This window comes from Homo sapiens, chromosome 3 (assembly GCF_000001405.40).
Source record: "Homo sapiens chromosome 3, GRCh38.p14 Primary Assembly".
NCBI lineage: Eukaryota > Metazoa > Chordata > Mammalia > Primates > Hominidae > Homo > Homo sapiens.
In genome coordinates this window covers 71,738,282-71,759,322 of record NC_000003.12, presented here as the reverse complement: position 1 = coordinate 71,759,322, position 21,041 = coordinate 71,738,282, and the positions used below count along the sequence as shown (strand labels likewise).

General features: G+C 42.4%; 2 protein-coding genes across 6 annotated transcripts in view; one reads left to right on the top strand and one right to left on the bottom strand.

The window, feature by feature from the left end:
• Positions 1-2,826: 2,826 nt before the first annotated feature.
• GPR27 (G protein-coupled receptor 27) lies at positions 2,827-5,468 on the bottom strand. Its single transcript, NM_018971.3, has one exon. The coding sequence runs from the start codon at positions 5,271-5,273 to the stop codon at positions 4,146-4,148; it is 1,128 nt and encodes a 375-aa protein (NP_061844.1). The 5' UTR covers positions 5,274-5,468; the 3' UTR covers positions 2,827-4,145.
• EIF4E3 (eukaryotic translation initiation factor 4E family member 3) overlaps positions 4,550-21,041 on the top strand; it is a 95,411-nt gene continuing 78,919 nt past the window's right edge. For 2 of the 5 annotated variants that reach the window (NM_001134649.3, XM_047448063.1), the window contains exon 1: positions 4,825-5,108. The gene's annotated coding sequence lies outside the window, so the exon portion shown is untranslated. Of the gene's footprint in view, positions 4,680-4,824; positions 5,109-5,731; positions 5,861-21,041 lie in introns of those variants that run through there. The other 3 variants (NM_001282886.2, XM_047448062.1, NM_173359.5) reach the window with 2 other exon arrangements.

The window sequence follows — 21,041 nt, the reverse complement described above, 5'->3', positions numbered from 1 at the left end:
GAGGAATTGTCAGGCAGAAAGGTGGGAATGGGCTTTCCGGGAAGAGTGGAGAGCTGGTATAAGAGTAATCCAAGAAGGGAGAGATGAGAATACAAGGGAAGGATGAGGCCAGGGTGGTAGAGGGCCTGACTGTGAAAGGTCTGTGGCAGACAAAGAGGTTTCTCCTCCATCCTGTAGGCCTTGGGAAAACAGGGTGGACTCTATCTCATCAACCCAGTGATCCACCTGCAAAACAATAACCCTGAGTCAGCCCTAGGACTTGGCACCCTGTCACCTGTTAGGGAGCAGGGCATTTGAGAATGTAGAGGGCTGATGGTGAGAACAAAGACTTCGGAGAAATAATTTTGCCGTTTTATTTCTTTTTAAAAAAGAAAGAGAAAAAAGGGAGGGAGGGAAGGAAGGAAGAAAGAAGGAAGGAAGGGAAAAGAGAAAAGGAAGAGTAGAAACCAATATGGCATTTGGTAAGGCTGAGTAGTGGACACAGAGATTATCACTGTTGTTACTGATTTGTTACATGCTTCCCCACTTTGCTTAAAATATTTCATTTAAAAAATGAATGTGTCACACCTGTAATCTCAGCACTTTGGGAGGCCAAGGCTGGTAAACCACTTGAGGCCAACAGTTAGAGACCAGCCTGGCCGACATAGCGAAACCCTGTCTCTGCTAAAAATACAAAAATTAGTTGGGCCTGGTGGCAGGCGCCTGTAATCCCAGCTACTTGGGAGGCTGAGCTGTAATCCCAGCTACTTGAACCCAAAGGTGGAGGTTGCAGTGAGCTGAGATCACGCCACTGCAATCCAAGCTGGGCAACAGAGCGAGACTCTGTCTCAAAAGAAAAAAAAAGAATATGTCAGGTGTACTGTACATTTAAACAGACATATAGACATATGGTCCTTCTACAAAACTATTTGACAAGATATCAAAAGTCCTAAAAATGCTTCTTTTGACCCAGCAATTCCATGCTAGAACATACAGACAAAGATCTATGTACGGGAAGCCTACATTGCTTCAAGTATAGTGACAACTGCGTGGGAGGGTGGGGAAGTTGTGCTAAATTAACTTCCCAAATAAATAAAATGAGCAATTTTAATGAAATCTTCCCTAAATACATGGTGCCTGTGCTGGTACAATAAGTAGAGTACTGTGGACACAACTAACCTTTTTTTTTTTTTTATAATTTTTGATTAATGTAATTAACTATCAAAGTACATGTTAATAGATTCACCAATCCTAAAAGCTGTTGGGGTGGCCCTTTGCACCTCCCCACTTTCTGCTACATAGCTTGTTTCTCTGGCTCTTTTGGTTCTCGTTTCCTTTAGTTGGCTGTTATTTCTTGCTACTCTCACCTGCACACTCACTAGAAATCTTGCCTTCCCCCATCTAATCAGAACTTTAAAACATAAAAATAAAAAACCCAGGTAGCCAAGTTTGAACGCATCATGTCTGAAGTAAATCATGTCTGAACGAAGTCCTGGAGGTCTGTCTCCAACCACCTGAGGAACCTGTTGAAATGCTTTTCCCCAGGACCCAACTCAACATGTCCTCATAAGACTCTGGATCACACAGACACTTAATTTGTATGAATGTTAGAATTTGAGAACCTCTGGCTTATGAATTCTCATATGACAAAATATCCCTTGAATTCAAGGCTATGTCAGGCCAACACGTCACCTCTGGTGCAGCTGAGCTGCTGCCCAAAGCTGGAGTGGCTCAGGAGTCAGCCATGATGGGCTGGTTCCTGTGCCATGCCAGGTGGGAAAATCACAGAGACTTGGTGATCTCTGTTTTGGGGGCTTTTTTGAGACAGGGTCTCGAGAGCTCTGTCATCCAGGCTACAGTGCCATGGCACAGTCATGGCTCACTGCAGCCTTGACCTCATGGGCTTAAGCCATCCTCTCACCTCAGCCTCCCCAGTAGCTGTGACCACAGGTGCACATTACCACACCCAGCTAATTTTTTGATTTTTTGTAGAGACATGGTCTCGCTATGTTGCTTAGGCTGGCCTCAAACTCCTGGTCTCAAGCAATTCTCCTGCCTCGGCCTCCCAAAGTTCTGGGGTTACAGGCATGAGCCATCGTAGACTGGTTCGACCTCTATTTGGAACTGAGATCACTTGGGCAGGTGGAGGGTTAGATGAGGAGAGAGGTACTTCTGGGCTCCTCTATCTTGGGGTTGGCTGAGGTTTCCGATCAGTGGCCCTTGGATGATTGAGGCCAACCTGGATTCATGATGTGGGGAGAAATAGGGTAACTGTCTCATATTTTCCAAGTGTGAGACTGTCTTCACAGACTGATTAACTTCCACAACAAAATAAAATCATGCAGCCTATTTACCAGAGATCAATTAAATTGGCCACACTCTTTTTATAACTTATTCCCATTGGACTGAACATTTAATAGTTTATATTATACTCAGCTAAATTTCAATATAATCTACCACCCCCACTTTTACCTAGTACTTTTATCAAAATGATCGCTTGTACTTGAGTTTGATATGTTTACTTAAAAGCTTTTTTATGTCATTTAACGAATAGTCATTGAAATGTTGTCATCCAAATAAAAAAACAGTTTTAAAGCCGTATATATGTCTACTGCTTCTTCCCTTTAAAGAAAAGTTTCGCAGATTTTATCTTGCATTTTAAATTAAGCCTCCACTTTTCTTGGATATGCTGATGGTCAAACTATGAAACCTGTAACTGAAGAACACGTGCTAAAAGGATCATAGAGCATGTTATCCTTACATAACATACTTAGAGGCATGTAACATACTTCGACGCATGTATTATTACAGCCTCAAACACCACCACCACCACAACAAAACAACCACTCCAGAATGAAAATACTGGTATATTTGTATAATGCAAAGAGAAATACAGATATAAATCCTCAAAACGGAAGGTACATTAATAAAAATGTAGCATTATAAGCCAAAAATATTATATAGTACTTGCAGAATTTAGTCTTTCAGTTTAACATTATAATGTCTAACAAAGAAATATTATTTAAATTATAGTTCTCATTATTAATTTAAAACAACCATCAGTAGAACAGCACAGCTTAACCTAGCAAACATTTTAAGGAAATGCTTTGTTTCCTAGAAGGAGGATATCATTATATTCCATTCATTTATACCATAAACAACAGAAGAACAATTTTCAAAGTGGAAATTAGTTTCATAAGACAGAATAAAACTGGGCTTCTCAAAGCACAAGCCATTTCCATAAAATTAATTTTTTATTGGCAAAAAATACTTAAAACAATTTTGATGTAGTACTCTGCTTCTCAGAGCCCTCCCAATCCTCGAACCACAATCTATACACACGAACACATGCAATACTGTATTTTTCTCCACATCATTACTAACCAAAACACTTTACTCTTTTAAAACTTACAACTTGACAGAAATGTTTCCATTCAAGATTGCTATAATACAGAGAGCAGTTGTCACTGACGTGGTTTTTAGCAGCAGAAAGTAAACCGGGAACCAAATCTTACTTGTTACTTACTGCTTTAAAAAAATGACTGCCTTGCTACTGATCTCCATCTCTGCTCTTTAAGTTCAATATCAACACTGAGACTTTCAAAGAACCAGCGCAGCACAAGGACCCTGCAGCCGGCAATTCAGAGGGCATTTCGGACAACTTCCCCCCACCCCCCACTTTCTCCTGCTTCCAACAGAAGATCCTCAAGAAATCTAACTTGTGAAGAAGTCCCCCTAGGTTCCTCTACTTCACTGCAAAATGTAATGCCACTTGAGGTTGTCAAAAATAGCTTCTGTAGAAAACTGGCCATGGTCTTTAGGAAACGTTGCATGAAGAAAATTAGTACAGCCTTTATAGAAAAAGAAAAAAAGGAACCACACATGGAATAAAAGACGTCAGTACCGCTACAAAAAGACTGCAGGGCCTATTGTCAGGAAGAAAGTCGAGTTAGGAGGACGAATGTGCGGAGCTGGAGTGGGCTGAGCATCCTACTCCTCACCCACCCCACCCCCAAAGGAGTCAGTACAATCCAAGTGTCTGTCCACTTCGAGTCATTTTGAAGGCAGCTTAGAAAATTAAACAGGGGCCAGAAGGAAAAGATACAACGTCACCGTCCGAGCCAAAGGGAAAGGCTGGGTTGGGGGTCTATGTGGCGGGGCCTCCCTCATAAACCAATGCCTTTCAGGTCGCAGGGATGGGTCGCCTGGGTGGTCCGGGGGCTCTGGCAGCAGGGGAACTGGGCCCTGAAGCAGTCCCTCAGCTCCCTGTTGAAGAGGAAGCACACGACGGGGTTGATGCCGGCCTGCGCGAAGGTCAGCCACACGGAGGCCGTCAGGTAGGCCTGGGGGACGGCGCCGGGCCGCACCAGGACCCGCAGGTAGCTGGCCACGACGTAGGGCCCCCAGAGGAGCAGGAAGAGCAGCGTGACGGCGTAGAACATCTTGCACAGCCTCTTCTCCGTCTTGAATTCTTCCAGCACGAGGAGGCGGCGCGCGCCGCGGCCCGGCCCTGCGGGCCGGATGCCCACAAGCGCGGGCGGCGTGGGCCCGCGGCCGAAGCCCGCCGTCCAGTTGGCGGCCGCCTGGCCGGTGGCGCCCGGGCCGTGGAAGGTCCAGTCGTGGCTGACGGCGGGCACCAGGCGCGCGGGCCGCATCTTGCGGCGGTCGTGGATGAAGAAGAGCAGGCGGAGGTAGACGAGGTGCGTGGCGCCCACCACCACGGCCAGCAGCAGCAGGAAGCCCAGCGCGCCGGGGGCGCCGTCGGGCCGCTGCTCCAGGGCGCACGGCGCGTCCTCGTCGTCGCCACCGCCGTCCAGCACTGGCGGGAAGGCCGCGGCCAGCGCCAGCGCCCAGGCGGCGCACACCAGCATGGCGGCGCACGGCCAGCCGGCCAGGCGCTCTGCATAGAAGCGGTGGTGCGCGATGGCCAGGTAGCGGGTGACGCCCACGCCCAGCAGCAGGAAGGCGGCGTGGAAGCAGAAGAGCGCGGCCAGGAAGGCGAGCAGCTTGCAGCCCAGCGCGCCCGGCGGCGCCCCCGCCGCGGCCGCCGCACGCCGCGCCGCCAGCATGACGGCCGGGAGGCAGGCGAGCGCGCGCAGCCCGTCGGCCAGGCACAGGTCGAGCAGCAGGTAGTACGGGGCGCGGTGCAGGCTGCGCTCCCGCACGATCAGCAGCGCGAACAGCACGTTGCCCGCTAGGCTCACGCACAGCAGCAGGCTGAGCGTGGCCAGCTTGAGGCCCAGGGCGGCCGCCTCGCCGCCGCCGCTGCCACCCGGCTCGCTCGCGTTCGCCATCGCGGCCTCACCAGGCCGTGCGCTCCGCCCCGGGGCCGTCCCCTGCCTCGCCGCTCCCGCAGGCCGCCCGGCCCGAGCTCCGCCGCTCCGCCGGCCCTGGGCGAGCTCCCCGTCCTGCGGGGCTCAGCCCGCTCCCGGCCGGCCCCTCCTGGGCTCCCCGAGCCGCCGCTGTGCCGCCGCCGCCATCTCAGGAATGGTGCGCGCAGGAGGAGGCGGCCACTCCCTGCGCCCTAGGCGCCGCGGGCTTCACTGCGGACAGGGCCTCGCCACCGTCCGCAGCCCCCCGCATCCTCCTCCGTCTCCTCCTACTCCTCCGCTGCTGCCGCCGCGCCTCTTGGCTCTGCCCCCCGCCGGGCCCGCCGCCGCCGCTGCCGCCGCTGCCGCCGCCGCCGCCGCCGCCGCGGAGCCCCCTCCCCTCCGCCGGAGCGCGCAGCGCGGCCGCCGCCGCCAGCCCCGCCGAGGCATCCCGCACCGCCTGGGCCCGGCTGGGCTGGGGGCGCCTCCGCAGCAGCCGCGGGGTCGGGAGGCGGCCGGGAGGGAGGCAGGGCCCAGGACGCAAGGTGGCGACAAGTCGCGTTTGGCCCCAGGTAACGGGGGTCCGGCGGCGGCGCCCGCGCTGGGGTCACGGTGGCCGTGCGCGGGGGAGGTTGCCTGGGCTGGCAGGGTCGGGAGGCCTCAGAGGGGACAGGAATATCTGGAATGAGCCTTCTGCCCGAAAGCTGGGAGTAATTTACGATAGTAATAGTCATCGTAATCCTAAAACCGCTGATACTCAGGTGCGCACTGATGTGGGTGGCAGTGTGCTGGGGAGCTTGGCAAGCATTATCTCCCTCAACAGTAATCACGAAGTTGTTGCCATCCTTAATCCCACTTTATACCTCAGGAAGCAGAGGCTTGGAGGTCAAGGGAGTTGAGAGCCGGGAAGTAGCGGAGCTGGGATTCAAATTTCGCTTGGTCTGATTTCCAGTGCTGGACTCACAGCGACTCCGCAGCATCCCCTGCTCGCTAACTCATCCGTGATCCCGGTGAAGGACCTATATCAGGGAAAAGAAATGCAGCATTTCATCTTTAAGTGACTTGGAAGGTGAACCCTATGCCACCTTCCTCCCAGGATATCTATTTTCTGGGTAAGCCTGAAAGGGCAGCCCCTGTTATGATTCTCAGACACACCGCATTTGTCTCGCAGGACCTTGCATGTGCTGGTACCTCTGCCTGGACCAGCCCCACAACAGGCTCCCTCTCCGTAGGGCCTCCTTCTAACCCGTCTGTTTTACTCTGTATCCCTGCCCTCTAGTCATTTCCTTCTTAGCACTTATAATTTGTCATTATATACTTTCATTTCTTTTTAAAAATCATGCTCTTCTAACTAGGCTCTAAGCTCTTTGAAGGCAAGGGATCATGCCTGGTTTTTGGTACCACTGCATCCCCAGTGCTTAGCATGGTAAAGCCAGAATTAAGCAACGCATTGTTTCTCACCCACACTCATTTGTTTTTTCTTCTGTGCAGAAAATTATTTGTTGCCTACTGATTACATGCAAGGCAGGCACCTTGATGGGCATTTTCAGGATAGTGCAAGATCATAGAGGGCCTTAATGATCAGGCTAAGAAGTCGAAACTTTAGTCTGCAGGCAGTCAGGAGCCCTTGAAATCTTTTGAGAAGGGGAGCGACATGACTAGGTGTGCTCCAGGAACATTATTCTGGCAGCAGTGTTGAGGAGGGATGACAGAGCAGAGCCGGTAAACCTAGTCCAGAGCCTCAAACTTCACTATGTGCAGAAATCACTGGGGACCCTGTTAAAATGAAGATTCTGATTTAGTAGTTCTGGAATGGGGCCGGAGGTTCTGCATTTCTAACAAGCTCCGGGGTGAGACTAATGCTGTTGGTCTGCTGACCTTACTTTGAATAGTAAGGCCCTTGGGGACAGTTTGGATATTTTTTTAAAAATCTAAGTGATTTTTCAAGAAAATCAACTATTGAGCACCTGACTTGGGACTCCTAAGTGGCCAGCAGCAAGTGGCTGACCAGGCACATCTGTAAATGTATGTTGATAGAAAATAGATTTTGGAGGGTGTATGGGTTAGGAATTGCAGTTTGATACTAGTAGCAAAAAACGTGTACATGAGTTTATTTTCCTCGTGAAAGAAGAAGTTTGGAGGTCAGTAGTTGCTGACATTGATTTATTGGCTCAAGGACTGAATCTCTGAAAATCTTTTAGCCCTTCCCTCATGATCACAGTAGGCTGCCGACGCCCCAGCCATCATTTCTTCATTCCAGGCAGAAAGAAGAAAAGGGAAAAGAGCAGCAATATTCCAGCCATCTAAGTAGGAAGAGCTTTCTAGAAGCCCTACATTATAAACAAACACTTAAACATATCATTGGCTATCAATTGAGAGTGAGCACTTGAGCAAGGGAGGGTAGGAAATGGTTTCTTATTTCTTTGTTTAAAGTTAGACCCATGGCTGTAGAGAATTCGATCCTGCCTTGCTGTGGCCCTTAGCGCTTGGGCTGCCTCTGCCCAGAGGAGGGAATGCCTTCTTAATAACCCACACAAATTCACCAACTCTGGTTGCTTTATGGTAATACTAATGGCAGCCACCTTTTACTGAGCACTTGCCGTATGCCAAGCATTGTGCTAAATTCTCGACATGTGTTATTTAATGTAATCATTGTAATGGCCAGATGTGGTATGTGCTGTTACTGTCTTCATTTTGCAGAGGAGGCAGAAGGGTTAATTTGTTCACGCTTTCACCACTTACACTTACTTTACACTTACTTTCAAGTAAGTGTAAGAGCTGGAAGTCTGACTTTATTTATTTTGAAACAGGGTCTCACTCTGTCACCTAGGCTGGAGTCAGTGGCATCATCATGGCTCACTGCAGCCTCAACCTCCCAGGCTCAGGCCGTCCTCCTATCTCAGCCTCCTGAGTAGCTGGGACCACAGGCTTATACCACCATGCCCCGCTAATTTTTAAAAAATTATTTGTAGAGGCCGGATGCGGTGGCTCACACCTGTAATCCCAGCACTTTGGGAGGCCGAGGCGGGTGGATCATGAGGTCAGGAGATCGAGACTATCCTGGCTAACACGGTGAAACCCCGTCTCTATTAAAATGCAAAAAATTAGCTGGGCATGGTGGCAGGCGCCTGTAGTCCCAGCTACTCAGGAGGCTGAGGCAGGAGAATGGCATGAACCCGGGAGGCGGAGCTTGCAGTGAGCCGAAATCGTGTCACTGCACTTCAGCCTGGGCAACAGAGCGAGACTCCGTCTCAAAAAAAAAAAAAAACCAATTATTTGTAGAGATGGGGTCTCCCTATGTTTCCCAGGCTGGTCTAGAACTCCTGGGCTCAAGTGATCCTCCCACCTCAGCCTCCCAAAGTGCTGGGATTACAGGCGTGAGCCACCACACCCAGCTGAGGAACTCTGTGTTTAGAGTCCATCCTCATGATCTCCACAAACACTGCCTCTTTGTTATAACTGTGAAGAAAGCTTTTGAGTTTATAAAAGCAGTAAACTAACATACACAAACTACTGATGCTCCCGGGCACAGAATTATAACCCCTTTCGAGAGGGAAGGATTTTTCAAAACCATCTAATCCTAACACTTGAATTTTACAAACAGAGAAGCTCATGAATAGCTGAGTGGGAGGGAGAACCCAGGTCCTCCCACTCCTAGGTCACTACCTTCCACTTTAAATCTTCATATTTTTTATTCTAATGAGCACATGGTGTTCGACAAGTCACTTAACCTCTTGGAATCTCAAATGTGTCCATTTATGAAATGGGACGTTGGACCAAATGATTTCTGAGGGTCCTGGGCTCTGAAGTTGAGTTTAGGTATAAGGAAATGGAAGTTAAGTGATTATGTCTCCCAAATGGGGAGAGATTTATTTTTCAGAAAAGGACACAAAAGAAGAGACATTATTAATTCCTTATAACTTAAAATTTTCTGTTTTCTGTTTCTATCTACGGTGCAAAATGCTGCTCTTGAGATTTGGTTTAGTCATTTTCCCAGGCTCAAATAGCAGAAGCAGCAGTAGAAAATACATAAATCATGGTTCTCTCACAGCATTTATATGCCTACTTCTTTCATTATCAACATTTGTTCAGTAGATTAATACTTAAGGAAAAACTGTTCACATTTCATTGGCCAGGATCAACGTATTTTCCTTTTACTGTTTCTAGGAAGCTGCAGGCAAGAATTTTAAATGCTTTCTTAGGCACCAAATTGCATGCCTTCATCTCAAAGCAAAACAGCTCTATGACATTTTTTTCCTATAAGAAAATTTCCATTATTCTTGTATAATCAAATTATTCCTTTTGGACATAGAAACAAAAGTATTTCCCACCCCCACTCCCCAAATCATTTATGTCACTTCTTTGATGTACGTATAGATGGTGTGAATGGTACTAGAAATCCTGACTGTTCAGAGGAACTGGTTGGCACCCTTTGGCAGATACAGTCAAGGTCATGGGTTCCCTAATCATGAGGTCCAGTCTGGCCAGTGTATCCTGTTTAACCTCAGGCTTCTGGCCAGTCACCTGCCAATAGGTACATTAAACACCAAGTTAGAGAAGGTTGGTTTGACTTAACTCCATCCCAACTCTTAGAAAAAGTGAGCCAAAGTCTAGGCCCAGTGGATGTTGGATTATCAAAGGGCAGCACTCAAGTTGACCTCCCCATGGGACGAAGTCATAACTTTGACAATGAAAGTGGGCCTTGCGGTGAGGACCACTCTGGTTCATGTCCAGTTTCCACCACTGACTAGCTGTGCATTAGTGGTAGTTGTACATGAACCAGATTGTACCTAACTGTAAAGAGCCCAGACTTTGGCTCATTGGGCAAGTCTCTTGCCTGCTCTGAACGTCTGAATATCAAAAGCCCATTGTGGGAAGATTCAATTAAATGAGATTCATTTACAAAGAGTGTAGCACAAGGTGTGCACACAAGTCGTGTGCAATAAATGGTTAACTACACTTATGCATATTTGCTCTTACCTGACTATATAAATGTCTTGGCTAACCATGATTTAATTGACTTTTGTATTTCCCACCTCAGCTTAACCTAGCAGGATGCCCTGTACACAGTAGGTTCTCAATATGTATGTGGCAAGTATGAGTGTCAGTCTATATAATCAAGAGTGCAAGAAGTGCAGCTGCTTCCTAGAAACCTAATTTCTGACTCTGTGTTGCCATTTTGTCTTGCTGGTGGGGAAAAAAAGAGGTAGCCTTAGTGCATCTTGGGTTTCATCATGGGTCCTTGCTTTCTCAGAATATACTGTAATTTCAGGCAGGTGCCTAAATTGCCTAGTATATGGTCATTCAGGATAGTGCGCGCATGTGTGTGGGGTGTCCCTTCTCATATTTCATCAGTTGTTGGCATATCGTTCCTGTTCTTCCAAGCCATCGTGGTTTGGTGACTCTTGGCTGCCTTGTGCCAGACTTGTGGTGTGAGAATCTGGGCTGAGGATGCATTTGATATTAGATGCATCCACAGGTATTCTTCTCAGCAGTATATCTGAGAAACTGGGTGCAGCTCCCCTCTCTCTCAGTACCCTTCTCTTCTCCTCCTCCTACCTTCATCTCCAGGGACTCCCTATATACTCTGGAAGAGGGTGAAAACCCAGTTCTTCCTTGTTCTTCTGGACAATGTAATTATAGTCATCCCTCAGTATAAACAGGGAATTCGTTCCAGGGCCTCCGCGTGCACCCAAATCCATGCATACTGAAGTCCCATAGCCAGCCCTGCAGAACCCATATATATGAGAAGTCAGCTCTTCATATATGCAGGTTTCACATCTCTCAAATACTGTATTTACCATCTTGTTTTGATTGAAAAAAAAAATCACATATAAACCAACCCATGCAGTTCAAACCCATGTTGTTCAAGAGTCAACTGGAATCAATTTCCCTGGGAAGCTGTGTTCCCCAAATTCAGGTGTTTGGAAAAAATAAAAGCCGGGAAGCCACCTTGCCGTAAACCTCTCCTAGTCAAGGAAGCCCAGAGCCTGCTATCCACTTGAATGTTGGGAAGGAAAGGGAAAAATAGAGGAAGAAAAATGATCACTGCATATCTCAAAATATTGTGCTTGCTGTCTGTATTTGTTGAATGAATAACTGAATATCTTTATGTGTATATGTATAGCATATTGTTAAACTTCATTTAAGCAAAATGTGTTTAGTGAAAACTCTTTAACAGTTGGTTTTCTTTCTCCACATGCAAGAGAATGAAATTGCGCCCCAACCCCACCCCATATATTTTAAAAAATTCAAAATTGATGATAGACCTAAAACTCAGGGCTAAAACTATAACAACTCTTAGAAGAAAATATAGGAGTAAATTTTCATGACTTTAGATTAGGAAGTGGTTTCTTGGATATGTTCCCAAAAGGATAGGTGACAAAAGAAAAAAATACATAAATTGGATTTCATTAAAATTTTTAGGGTTTGTGCTTCAATAGACACCATCAAGAAAATGAAAGGCCCGCCTACAGAATGGGAGAAAATGTCTTCAGATAATGTGTCTGATGGGGGACTTGTATCCAGAGTATATAAAGAACTCATAACTCAAAAAAGACAACCCAATTTTAAAAATGGACAAAGGCTTTAAATAGGCATTTCTCTAAAAAGAAATGTAAATGGCCAATAAGCACATGGAAAGATACTTTGCATCATTAGTCAATAGGACAATGCAATTCAAACCATCTGAGATACCACTTCATATCTACTATAGTGGCTATTATCAAAAATGTAGATGATAACAGGTGTTGGTGATGATATGGAGGAATTGGAACCCTCAGATGATGCTGGTGGGGGTGGAAAATGATACAGCTGGTTTGGAAAATGATTTGGCAACTCCTCAAAAAGTTAAACATAGAGTTACCTTATGACCTAGCCATTTCACGCCTAGGCATTTACCCAAGAGAAATGAAAACATGTCCACATGAAAGCCCACATGTAAATGTTCATAACATCGTCATTCCTAATAACCAAAAGGATAAAGCAACACAAAGGTCAATGAATGAATGGATGGATAAATAAAATGTCATATATCCCTACAGTGGAATACTATTCACTCATAATAACAAGTACTGGTATGTGATGCTCCAGCGTGGATGAACCTTGAAAATACTGTGCTCAATGAAAGAAGTCAAACACGAAAGACCACATATTGTACAAATCCACTTACATGAAATGCCCAGAACAGGTAAATCCATAGTGATAGAAAGTTGGTTAGTAGTTGCTGGGAGCTGGGGGAAAGGATTGGAGAGTGACCACTAATGGGTCCAGAGCTTTTTGGGGGGTGATGAAAATGTTCTAAAATTAGGTAATAGTGATAGTTCCACAACTCTGTGGATATCATAAGAAAACAGAATTATCAAAAAAATTCATATGAAAGTGAGGTCACCTCTGTGGCCTATGGAGGTGTCTTTATTAAAAGGTGGATAGGAGCCTGGCAAGTAACATGAACTCCTAGTTATGGCTTTCTGAGTGAGTGCAGATTCTTAAGGTGTGATTTCTTGTACTCTTACCTGAGGCTGGCCACAGAAATAAGTCATGCCTTGCCATATGATCATGTGCATAAGGATTGCCCCCTTTGGTGGGCCTTAACGTTTACGTGCTTTGGGGCTTTGATGTTTAGGTAAACCTGGGAAGAGAGATTAAGAAAGTTTTATTTAACCAATAGCTTTATATTACAGCACAGCCACTAGAAAAGCTATCATTTTTTAGATCCAAAAATGCACTAAGCTGTTTTGCATATATGATTAATAATTTACTCCTACAAAATCTCCTACCCCAGTTTGACAGATGAGGAGCCTTGAGTTTTAAAGCAATTAACCATAGTCTGTGGTCACACAGCACAAAGTAGAAGAGCAAGGTAAAATTCCAGTCTGTCTGGACCAAAAGCCTGAATTCTTGACAAATATGTACAGAAAGCTTTGTCGACTAATATATAATTGAAAGAAAATCTATTGGGATGATAGAAGTATTAAACTGGGATTGTATCTGCTAGTACAGAATTGCGAAAAACCATTATGCTAACGGCATAGGTGGCAGTATTTTAACCACCTGAAAATAAACACTTTCAATATCGAAAAGAAACAAACAAGGAGTCTACACTAACATGTTATCACTATTTACAATGCCATTATTGATATTTCTATAATGGTTTTCTAAGCAAGTTATAGCAACGGCTCCAAGTGAGAAAAAAAGGCCTTCTTAAAAAATGTGGCCCCTTTCTTTTGCATTATATTTACTAGCTGTTTAAACTCTCTCTAGTGGTTAAGTCATGTTGTGATCCTAAATTTTGCATTGACAGACTCAATGCAACCACCAGGACTACAGTGCTACTGGGAGTGCCGAAGATTACAAGATCAAACCTATTCCTTAAGCATCTCTTCATGTGCATGGAATAATGGTATAAATATTGCATATCAAAGCTGCTACTGCTGTAATCCTTGCCTTCATCTCCTTTCTCTCTTATTTGGTCGAAAATCAAATAGTGCATCGATTATTGATACTTTCTACTCTAGAGAATTACAGTGAATATACTTTATATGGTGGCGATTTGGGGGGTACATCCATATAAAATGTTCTGAACTATGGAACAGGTTCATAGTTCCATAAGACACATCTTTAAGTTCCTGTAAGACACATCTTTAAGGATGTACCTACTGTTTCTTGAATTGCTAGTTTACCTATTATGCAACGAGTTCCTTGTAATAAAATATGAAAGTTTGGCTCTTTTAAATGCCCACCCTCTATATACATACACCTCCCACACACATATAAATTTTTCCTATGCCACCAGCACCAAGCTTTGCATTGGGTTTTTATTTAGATGAGGTAGAGACCCTTTCATTTGCAGAATTGTAACAGTTGTTAAGGAGAGCATCTGTAAAAATAAATCTTAGAGATAAGGCAGACAGATTTTTATGATAAATCACATAAAAAGTATGACTTGGGTTCGATTCTCCTTAGACTCCCATGTGAACTTGCAGTGGTCTGATTTCCATATGTCAAACATTTTGGATAAACAGCTGCATTTCTCAGAGAAACCCCTGCTACCACCCTTCCTTCATTCTCTTACTTCATCTGGTCTGGACAGCTCCCTGCACAGCTGTGGCCCTGGCACTGCCTTCCAAAGCATGCTGTTCTCTTCTCTCCCTGTGAGACTTCCTGTTTCCTGGAATGAACCCACATCTTTCTCTTTCTTGTTTTATTCTTTTGTTTCATTTTCAAGTGGTATACATATATCAGTAGCTTCCTGAGAAAGCTGCTTTGGACGTAAATATATATATTTTTTTGAGACGGAGTCTCGCTCTGTCACCCAGCCTGGAGTGCAGTGGCACAGTCTCGGCTCACTGCAACCTCTGCCTCTCAGGTTCAAGTGATTCTTCTGCCTCAGCCACCTGAGTAGCTGGGACTACAGGCACGTGCCACCATGCCCAGCTAATTTTTGTACTTTTCATAGAGACGGGGTTTCACCATGTTGATCAGGCTGGTCTCAAACTCCTGACCTTGTGATCCACCCACCTCGGCCTCCCAAAGTGCTGGGATTACAGGCATGAGCCACCGTGCCCAGCCGGAGGTGAATATTTTAAGATTTTTTACGTATCTGGAAATGCTCTTACTTTACCTTCTTCATACTTGATAGTTTGGCTGGGAATAAAATTCTACTGGGTTGGCAATTATGACCAATGATATTGAACATTTTTTTCATGTGCTTATTTGCCATCTACCTATCTTCTTTGCTGATAAACCTGCCATATTTTTTCAATAAATCATTTATTTTTCTTAATTGACTTTTAGGAGTTCTTTATGCATCCTGGAAAAAAGTTCTTTTTTGGATATAAGATTTGGAAATCCTATTTTCCCCTGGTTTCTGGCTTGTCTTTTTATTTTTTTAATAGTGTCTTTTGAAGAGCAGAGATTTTAATTTTGATGAAGTTCAGTTTATCAATTTGAATTATTTTATGAATTATGCTTTTACATCATATCTAAGAAATTCTTGCCTAAACCATGGTTGTGAAAATTTTCTCCTATGTTTTCTTCTAGAAGTTTTATGATTTTAGGTTTTTTACAGTTAGTTTTATGTTCCATGTTAATATTATAAATGGTGTGAGGTGGATTGAATTTCAATGGATTGAAATTCATTTTTTTAATGTATGGATATTCAACTGTTCCAGCACCCCTTGTTGAAAAACTTACTGCACCTTTGTCAAAAACAAATTGTCCATATATGTGTGGGTCTTTTCCTGGACTCTTTATTCTGTTGAGTTTATGTGTTTGTCTATCTTGATGTCACACTGTATTCATTATTGTGGCTTTATAATAAGCCTTAAAATCAGGGAGCATTATTTCTCCAAATTGTTCTTCTTTTTCTAGTTGTTTTGGCTGTTCTTGGTCATTAGCATTGACATATGTGTTTTAGAATGAAGTTATCTAATTCTATGATAAAGCCTACTGGGATATTAATTGGGGTTGTGTCTAGATCAGTTTGGGGAGAATTGACATCTTAACAATACTCTCCTATACACAAAAAAGGTGTATCTCTTCATTTCTTCAGCTCTTCTTTTATTTCTCTCAGCAGTCTTTTGTACTTCCCAGTGTATAGTTCTTGTATATCTGGTGTCAGAATTATCTATCAACATTTTGTGTTTTTGATACTTTTATGAATGGTATTTTTAAAATTTTTAATTGTTCATTTCTACCCTAAAAAGAATATAATTGATTTTTGTATATTGACTTCATATTTTGAAATTTTGCTAAACTCACTTATTTCAGTTTTTTGAGGGTAAATTCTATCAGGTTTTCTACATAGACATGCGTCTTGTCTGGAATAGACAATGTTACCGTTTTTTCAGTCTGGATGCCTTTTTATTTCTTTTTCTTGCCTTGTTGCACTGGCTAGAACCTTTAATACAATGTTAAATAGAAATGACTGGAGCTAACCTTATTGGTCTCTTCTCTCATATTAAAAGGAAAGCATTCAGTTTTTCACCATTAAGCGTGATGTTAGCTATGGATTTTTATAGGCGCCTATAGATGAGGAAGTTCCCTTCCATTCCTACTTTGCTGAGAGGTTTTTGTTTGTTTGCTTGTTTTAAAATCAGCAGTGAATGTTGGATTTTGACAAATGCTTTCCATGCATCTATTGAGATAACCACACTGATTTACATTTTTAGTTTGTTAAATAGTGAATTGTATTGATTGACTTTCCCATATTAAACCAACCTTGCATTCCTTAGATAAATATGACTTGGTCATGAACTACTATCCTTTTTGTATATTCTTGTATTATACTTGCTAAAATTTTGTTTTGAATTTTTACATCTATATTCATGAGGGTTATTGATCTCCAGCTGTTTTTCTTTTTTTCTTGTACTGGCTTTGTCTTTTGGTTCAGGATGAAGGTGATCTAATAGAATGACTTGGAATGTATTCTCTCCTTTTCAATTGTTTTTTAAAAGTTTATGTAGAATTTTTTTCTTTAATGTTTGGTAGAATTTACTTGTAAAAGTATTTGAGCATGGAGTTTTCTTTGGGGGAAGGTTTTTAACTATATATTTCATTTCTTTTATAGATATATGGCTGTTCAAGTTATATATTTTACCAAGTACATTTTGGTGGTTTATGTCTTTAAAGGAATTTGTCCATCTCATCTGTGTTACCAATTCATTGGCATAAGTTGTTAATAACATTTCATTGTTATCTTCTACATAGCTATAATATAAAGTCAGTATTGATATCTTCTGTGTCATTTCTGATAGTGGTACATTTTTCCCTGAATAGTCCTGCCAGAAGTTTATCATTTTTTTCAGTCTCAAATAACCAGATTTTTACTTTCATTGATGTTCTCTACTGTTTTTCTGTTTTCTATTTCATTGATTTCTGCTCTGATATTTATTATCTCCTTTGATCTATTTAATTTGCATCCTATTTGCTTTTATTTTCTAGTTTCTTAACACAGAAGCTGAGTCCATCTATTTGAGATCTTTATTCGGGCATTTGTGTTATAAATTTTCCCCTAAGAACTGTTTTGGTAGAATTCCATGAATTTGATAGGTGTTTTTTTATATTCATTCATTTCAGAATACTTCCTAATGTCCTTTTGATTTCTTTTTTGATCCATGAGTTATAGAGAAGTGTGTTATTTAGTTTATAAGTATTTGGGGGATTCCCAGAGATCTTGCTATTATTGATTTCTAATTAAATTCCACTGTATCAGAGAACATACTTGTATGACTTGAGTTCTGTTAAGTTTATCAAGACTTTTATGACCCAGAATATGGTCTATCTTGGTAAACATTCTGTGTACCCTTGAAAAGAATGTGTTTTGTATGGTTGTTGGGTGAAATGTTTTGTAAATGTCAGTTGGGTCAAGATGGTTGATAGTGTTGTTGAAATCTTTTATGTTCTTACTAAATTTCTGTCTACTTGTTCTAGCAGTTATTGAGAGATGAGTGTTGAAATCTCTGGCTATAATTCTGGATTTGTATTTCTCCTTGCACTTCTAACAGTTTTTGTTTCATGTATCTTGGGGCTCTGTTATCAGGAGTAAAAAATATTTAGAATTATTATATCCTCTTGATGAACTGACTCATTTATATTACTAATCGACCCTCTTCATTCCAAATAATATTCTTTGCTCCGGAATTTACTTAGTGTGATATAAATATAGCCTCTCCAGCTTTCTTTTGATTAGAATTAGCACAATGTACCTTCTTTTTTTACTTTAAAAATTATTTCATTGTAGGATATGCTCATAACATCAAGCTAAGGATCAATGTAACTCCTACTTTTGCTTACAATCTATGCCTGGGATTCCAGGATGTGTGTGTGTGTGTGTGTGTGCGCGTGCATGTGCATGTGCATGGATGTGTTTTTTTGTTTTTATTGTATTTTATTTTATTTGAGATGGAGTCTCACCCTGTTGCCCAGGCCAGAGTGCAGTGGTGCAGTCACATCCACTGCAACTTCTGCCTCCTGGTTTCAAGCCATTCTCCTGGCTCAGCCTCCCAAGTAGCTGGGACTATAGGTGAATGCCACCACACCCGGCTAATTTTTTGCATTTTTAGTAGAGACAGGGTTTCACCATGTTAGCCAGGATGGTCTTGATCTCCTGACGTTGTGATCCACCCACCTCAGCCTCCCATAGTACTGGGATTACAGGCGTGAGCCACCGCGGCCGGCTGGGATGTGTGGTTTTTAATGAATTCTTACAATTCTTTTGTTCCTTTAACAGGTTTTCTCATATATTCCTGGACAATAGTAGGTACTCAGTAAATATTTGGTTGTTTCGTTTTGTTGTTTTTCGAGACAGGGTCTTGCTCTATCGTCCAGGCTGGAGTGCAGTGGCACGATCTCAGCTCATTGTAACCTCTGCCTCCTGGGTTCAGGTGTCCTCCCACTTTAGCCTCCCAAGTAGCTGGGACTACAGGTGCACACCACCATGCCCGGCTAATTTTTGTATTTTTTGTGGAAATGGTGTTTTGCCATGTTGCCCAGGCTGGTCGCAAACTCCTGGACTCAAACGATCCACCTGCCTTGGCCTCCCAAAGTGCTGGGATTGCAGGCAGGAGCCACCATGACTGGCCAATATCTGTTAAATGGAATGTTTGAGTCTACTACATGCAGAAAGAAAAATGCACACTCTGTCCTTTAGTTTTAATCTATTGTTGCCTTTATATTTAAAGTGCATTTCTTGTAGGCAGCCTTATTGTTGGTTCTTGCTTTTATATTCAACCAAATAATGGCTGAAATTCAATTGGGAATATTTAAACTGTACATTTAATGCGAATATTAATATGGTAAGATTTAAATCTGTCATCTTGCTTTTTGTTTTCTATTTGTCTTAACTGCTCTTTGCTTCCTTTTTCCTATTTTTATGCTTTCTTTTAGATTAATTAAATATTATTTATAATTTCTTTTTATCTCTTTTGTTGGATTATTAGTTATAATTCTTTGCTTTGTTATTTTAGTGCTTTATTTAGGATTCACAGTGTACATTTTTAACTTATCACAGTCTACCTTCAAGTGATATTATACCTCTTCACATACACTATAACAATTTACAGTGGCATATTCTCATTTCTCCCTCCCAACTTCTGTGCTGTTATTGTCATAGATTTTTCTTTTATTCATGTTATAAAGCCCATAGTACATTGTTATTATTTTTATTTAAACAGTCATTATTTTTTAAAGAGATTTTAAAAATACCAAAATTATGTTATATTTTACCCATGTGGTTATCATTTCCAGTGCCCTTTGTTTCTTTCTGTACATCTACGTTCCCTTCTGGCATCATGTTCCTTCTTCTTGAAGGAATTCCCATGACATTTCTTTTTTTTTTCAGACAGAGTCTCACTCTGTCACCCAGGCTAGAGTGTAGTGGTGCCATCACGGCTCACCGCAGCCTCAATCTCCCAGGCTCAGGTGATCCTTCCACCTCAGCCTCTTGAGTAGCTGGGACTACAGCCATGCGCCACCACACCTGGTTAATTTTTTAATTTTTTGGTAGAGACAGGGTTTCACCATGTTGCCCAGACTGGTCTGGGGCACATAGCCTCAGGTGATCCTCTGGCCTTGGCCTCCCAAAGTACTGGGATTACAAGCATGAGCAACTACTCCCAGCCTGTGACATTTCTTATGGTGTTGATTTACTGGTAGTGGATACTTTCAGCTCTTGCATATCTGAAAACATCTCTATTTCTCTCTTTTTGTTTTTGTTTCACTGATTTTCTCTATTATTTTTCTGTTTTGATTTTATTAATTTTTTATTTTATTAATTTCTGCTCTTTATTTTTCTCTTCCTTATGCTTGCTTTGGGTTTACTTTGCTCTTCTTTTCCTAGTTTCTTAATGTAGGAATTTAGGCTGTTAATTTGAAACCTTTCCTCTTTTGTAATGTAAGCATTTAGTGCTGTAAGTTTCCCTCTCAGTAGTGCTTTAGCTGCATCTGACATGCTTTAATATGTTGTATTTTCATTTTCATTCAGGTCTATGTATCTTTGAATTTTCTTTGAGACTTCCTTTTTAACCCATATATATATATATATATATATATATATACTGTTCAATTTTCAGGCATTTGGAAATTTTCTGGTTCTTTTTCTGGTATTGATTTATTTTACATTTGTTAAGTTTTGTTTTATGGTTCAGAATGTAATCTATCTTGGTGAATATTCCATGAACTCTTGAAAAAAAAATTGTGTTCTGCTAAAGTGCTATATATGACAAATAGATCCTGCTGTCTGATTTGTTGTTCATTTCTTGTATATCCTTGCTGATGTTCTGTCTAGCAGTTCTATCCATTGCTGAGAGTGGGCTGTTGAAGTTCCCAGCTATAATTTTCTATTGCCTATCTCCTTTCAGGTCTGTCAAGTTTTGCTTCATGTATTTTGAGCCTCTCTTGTTCGGTGCACATATATGTAGGATCATTATGTCTTCCTGGAGGGTTGATTCTTTTATAATTATGTAATGTCCTTCTCTGTCTCTGTTAACTTTACTCTAAAATCTGCTTTATTTGATATTTATATAGCTACTCTTAACTTTGTGGGGTTATTGTTACATGATATCTCTTTTTTCATTTTTTTTCCCTTTCAACCTACCCACATTGTTGTATTTGAAGTGAGTTTTTTATAAATAGCATTTTGTTGCGTCACGTTTTTTTGCTGTTGTGTATTTGCTTGTTATTTAATCCACTCTACCTGGTGGGGGTAAAAGTCTAAGATTCTCACTTGGCCTTGCTGGCTTAGGTAGGGGAAGG